At 36.4% G+C, this 5,199-nt stretch overlaps 1 annotated feature.

Annotated features, from left to right (window-relative positions):
- Nucleotides 232–432: a silencer, noted in NCBI's record as "peak6818 fragment used in MPRA reporter construct". NCBI's record gives its function as "represses an SCP1 promoter by STARR-seq MPRAs in K562 erythroleukemia cells {active_cell/tissue: K562}" and the evidence as "EXISTENCE:reporter gene assay evidence [ECO:0000049][PMID:32103011]".

Consider the following 5,199-nt stretch of genomic DNA (forward strand, 5'->3'; position numbering starts at 1 on the left):
GATGGTCTCGATCTCCTGACCTCGTGATCCGCCCGCCTCGGCCTCCCAAAGTGTTGGGATTACAGGCGTGATCCACCGTGCCCGGCCTACAATGCACATTTTTATTGTCATGTGTTAAGTTGAAGATTGGTACTCTGTAATCGATACAATATAGTTTTATATATATACAAACTAAACTTTGAAAAGTTTTTAGTAAATTGTGTCATTACAATTGACTCCTAATACGTTCAAAAACTGATTCATAATAGTCAGCCAGACGTCACAATCTTTCAATGCTACTGCTCCTATGCTCTTTCTCAGTTATGATATGCAACCCTCAGTCAGGAAAGTGTGTATAGCAACTGCCCAGGATCCACTTCACTCAGAATAAACAACGCAATACTGGGTCTGATCTTAACTTTTTCCTCTAATGTGGTCACACAAGATACTCCGTTATCATATGTGCTGGCAAGACTGACACAGTAATATAAGGCAGAAATATCCAGGTTCACTCTGTCTCCTCTATTTCTCCTTTGAACAATAATGGAAATAAATAATTGTAGTTAGCCCACATTACCATAAAGAGAAAAGTAAAACCATTTTTCTTTTCTATGACTTCTACTGGGATTAAAAACTACTTTTTTAATAAAAGCATAGTTAACATTTACATCGCATACAAGTCTTTTCCAGATTATCTTTTTCTCTAGATGACCCCTAAAGAGTTATCTTAGTTATATAGAGAGAAATTTTCACTTCAGCAGTCATTTTCTGAAGGATATTTCATGCTGAAATGTCTTTGAAGTATCATTTTTCATCAGCCCTCTAAACCTATTGAAAATGTCTCCACAGTACCTGAAACATTTTCTCTGTTGAAATATATCATTTTACATTACTCAGATGTTCTGAAAATTCATAAAGTAGCAATCATAATTTATTGAAATTTCTTTCTGCCAGTCAGAAATGAATAAAACTATATAGTGCATTCAAGAGGAAACAGAAAAGAAAAATGAAAAGAGTAACATCAGTACCTTTAGTTTAGAAGTAACGTAAGATTGTTTTTGGTAAACAATATCAGCAGTTTTCCATAATTCTAGTTTTTATTTCAAGCTGGTGAAACACTGAGCCTAGGATTGTGTGGCAAACTTTATACTGCAGATCTCTAATAGGCTTGCTGTTTTAATTTAAACAACAATTATTTAATATTCGTCCACTGCACACAATGGCTTGACAGTGTACATACAGCCTGGCTTCCTGAAAGTTACATTAGAAGTTGTCAGAATGGTTTTTTCATCATCATGAAATTTATTTAATAACATATTTTTAATAGCCTTTGTCTTTTATTCTTCTCTCATTCGTAATAGAGTAAATGTTTCTTCTTTTATCAGAGATTGGATCTTGCCTTTGGTGGTTAAGCTCTTTTCTTTTATGTCTTCTCAGGAATTTTGTTCACCCTTCTGGTCGTCTTTCTACACTGCTTCCCTCGTTACTGAGTTCTCAACAGGGCTTGTTTCCTTCCCCTCTGGCTGCCTTTTTTCCTCCTTAAATCTTACTTGCTGCCCATCTCCTATATTTACAACCTTTATTTAATAAAACGTTATGTACCAGAATACCACTTGTTCACCTCAATTTATTTAAAACATCTATTAAAGTTATACATAAATATGGTAAAATATCAAAAAGCGTAGGGTAAATAAATAAGAAGCAATAAACCTAAACTTTCCTACCACTAATCCTATATAATACAAGCAAAAATATATATAACAATGTTTCTGTATTTTTTGACAATATGCTTATATGATTTTTAAATGTTCAAAAGTTTATTTTTGTTATAATTTATAGTAATTCACCTCATAGACACCAGTCCTTAATTAATGATATAATTATAGCACCATCTCTATACTTTAATTCTTTCATGATTTATTTAAACCATTTTCTTATAGCCTGAGCTTTACATTGAATATTTTTGCTCTTCACCTTTTATTTTATTTCGAGACAGTCTTGCTCTGTCACCCAGGCTGGAGTGCAGTGGGCAGTCTCAGCTCACTGCAACCTCCACCTCCCAGGTTCTAGGAATTCTCATGTCTCAACTTCCTGGGTAGCTGGGATTGCCGACATGCACCACAACACTCAGCTACATTTTTTTGTATTTTTAGTAGTGATGTGATTTCACTATGTTGGATAGGCTGGTGTCGAACTCCTGGCCTCAAGTGATCTGCCCACCGTGCCCTCTTCACCTTTTAAAATAAGGTTTTCAGTGCCTCTATCTTTGCTTTTGCCTCTCCTCACTACGTTTTAGCTTCTGTGATTTGTCAGTGGTGCATTCACATAAAATTGATAGCATTTACATTTTTGTCTTTAAATATTCTCCATCCTTAGCTTTGATGCTGATAGTAATAGTTGGAAGCCTGCAAAGAAATATTCAGTATGATGACACTATTATTAACGTTTCACAGCCTCTATGTCACATGGTTAGGATGTATTTCTGCTATTAGTTTAAAGTAGGTTATTTTATCTTATGCTTCACAGGTTACTCAAAATTTTGCCACAAACAAGTTTGTTTCATATTTAAAACATTCTTCTAGTAAAGTATTTGAAACTCACTTGTCGTGGTCCACTTTGTGCTGCTATAACAAAATACCACCAACTGGGTAATTTGTAGAGAACAAAAATTTATTTTTCACAGTTCTGGAAGATAGGAAGTCCAAGATAAAGGCACCAGCAGGCTCATTGTCTCATGAGGGTTCGATCTCTGTTTCCAAGATCCAAGATGGCTTTTAGAACACTGTATACTCCACGTGTTCACATATGGTGAGAGGCAGAAGGAGAAGAAAGCCAAAGGCTGCATGAAGCCTTATTTATAAGGGTCTTATTTCCATTTACCAGGGAGGAGTTTTCATGGCCTAATCACCTCTTAAAGGCACCACTTCTTAATACTATCATTGGCCATTAAGTTTCAAAACCTAAATTTTAGAGAGGATACATTCAAACCACAGAGCCAGTCTTCATTTCCATATCCAGTAACATTCTTTATAAATCTGGAATGGTTGATTCATAATTAAACATGACTCATATTCCACCTTGGCAATTTTCTTCCCTGCAATCTTGGATTGATTCCTGTTTTTTATTCCATGTCTTTGTCTTTCTTGGGTTAGTGCTTTCTCTACCTTCTCCTTTTCCTCCTTCTTCTTCTTTGGGCTATGTATCCTTAAATCACTTCTTTAGAAAAACAGCATGAGAAGTACTTTCTAAATACAGGCATACCTCAGATATATTGGGGGTTGTGTTTCAGGCCACCATAATTGTGATAAACTGAATATCACAAAAAGGTAAGTCATGCAAATTTTGTGGTTTCCCAGTACATATAGAAGTCCTTTCCCCATTGCTTGTTATTGTTGATTTTGTCAATGACCAGATGATTGCAGGTGTGTAGCTTTATTCATGGGTTCTCTGTCCTGTTCCATTGATCTATGTGTTTGTTTTTGCATCAGTACCATGCTGTTTTGGTTACTGTGGTCTTGTAGTATAGTTTGAAATCAGGTAGTGTAATACCACTGGCTTTGTTCCTTTTACTTAGAGTTGTTTTGGCTATTCAGGCTCCTTTTTAGTTCCATATGAATTTTAGAATCCTTTTTTTCCCCCTTATTCTGTTAAAAATAATGTTGGTAGGTTGATAGGAATAGAGTTGACTCTAAATTGCTTTGGGCCATTTGACCATTTAAAAAATATTGATTCTTTTGATCCATGAGCAGTGTATATTTTTCTATTTGCTTGTATCATCTATGATTTATTTCAGCAGTGTTTTATAATTCTCCTTGTAGAGATCTTTCACCTCCTTGGTTAGATGTATGCCAAGGATATGTGTGTGGCTATTGTTGGTGTGATTGTATTGTTGATTTGATTCTCATCTTGAATATTATTGGTGTATAGAAATGCAACTGATAATTGTATGTTGATTTTGTATTCTGAAATGTTATTGAAATTGTTTATCAGATCCAGGAACATTTTGGTGAAAACTTTAGGGTTTTCTAGGTATAGAATCATATCAGTGAAGAATGATAATTTGAGTTCTTCCTTTCTTATTTGGATGCCTTTTATTTCTTTCTCTCACAACACAGTACTTCTAGTAGAAGTGGTGAGAGTGGGCATCCCTGTCTTATTCCAGTTCAAAGGGGAATGAGTCCAGTTTTTCTTGTTGGCTGTGGATTTGTCATAGATGGCTCTTATTATTTTGAGGTATGTTCTGTCCATACCCAGGCTGTTGAAGGATGAACATATGAAGGGATGTTGGATTTTTTTTTTTTTTTTTGAGACAGAGTCTTACTGTCTCCCAGGCTGGAGTGCAGTGGCGCGATCTTGGCTCACTGCAAGCTCCACCCCCCGGGTTCATGCCATTCTCCTGCCTCAGCCTCCCTAGTAGCTAGGACTACAGGCGCCTGCCACCACACCTGGCTAATTTTTTTTTTTTTGTATTTTTAGTAGAGATGGAATTTCACCATGTTCGCCAGGATGGTCTCGATCTCCTGACCTCATGATCCTCCCGCCTCGGCCTCCCAAAGTGCTGGGATTACAGACATGAGCCACCGCGCCCGGCCAAAGGGATGTTGGATTTTAGGAAAAGCTTTTTCTGCATCTATTGAGATAATCATACAGCTTTTAGCTTTTGCTTTTAATTCCGTTTAGGTGGTGAATCACATTTATTGATTTGTGTGGTTTAACTGGGCCTGCATCCCAGGAATAAGGTCTACTTGATCATGGTGAATTAACTTTTTGATGTGTTTCTGGATTTGGTTAGCTAGCATTTTGTGAATTAGCCTGTAGTTTCCATTTTTGTTTTGTTTTGTTATGTCTTTGCCAGATTTTGAATTGAGAGTGATTGTGCCTTTGTAGAATGAGTTAGGGAGGAAGCCCTCCACCTCTACTTTTTGGAATAGTTTCAGAAGAATAGGTACCAACTCTTCTTGTACATCCGGTAGAATTTGACTGTGAATTCATCTGGTCCAGGACTCTTTTTGGTTAGTAGATTTTTTTATTACTGATTGAAATTCTGAACTTGATTTTGGCCTGTCCAGGGTTTCGATTTCTTTCTGACTCGGTCTTGGGAGATCATGTGTTTCCAGGAATGTATCCATATCCTCTAGGTTTTCTAGTTTTTGTGCATAGAAGTGTTTATAATAGTCTCTGAGGATCTTTTGTATTTCTGTGGGATTGGTTGCAGTGTAA

This window comes from Homo sapiens, chromosome 7, assembly GCF_000001405.40.
Source record: "Homo sapiens chromosome 7, GRCh38.p14 Primary Assembly".
In the NCBI taxonomy this organism is placed as follows: Eukaryota; Metazoa; Chordata; class Mammalia; order Primates; family Hominidae; genus Homo; species Homo sapiens.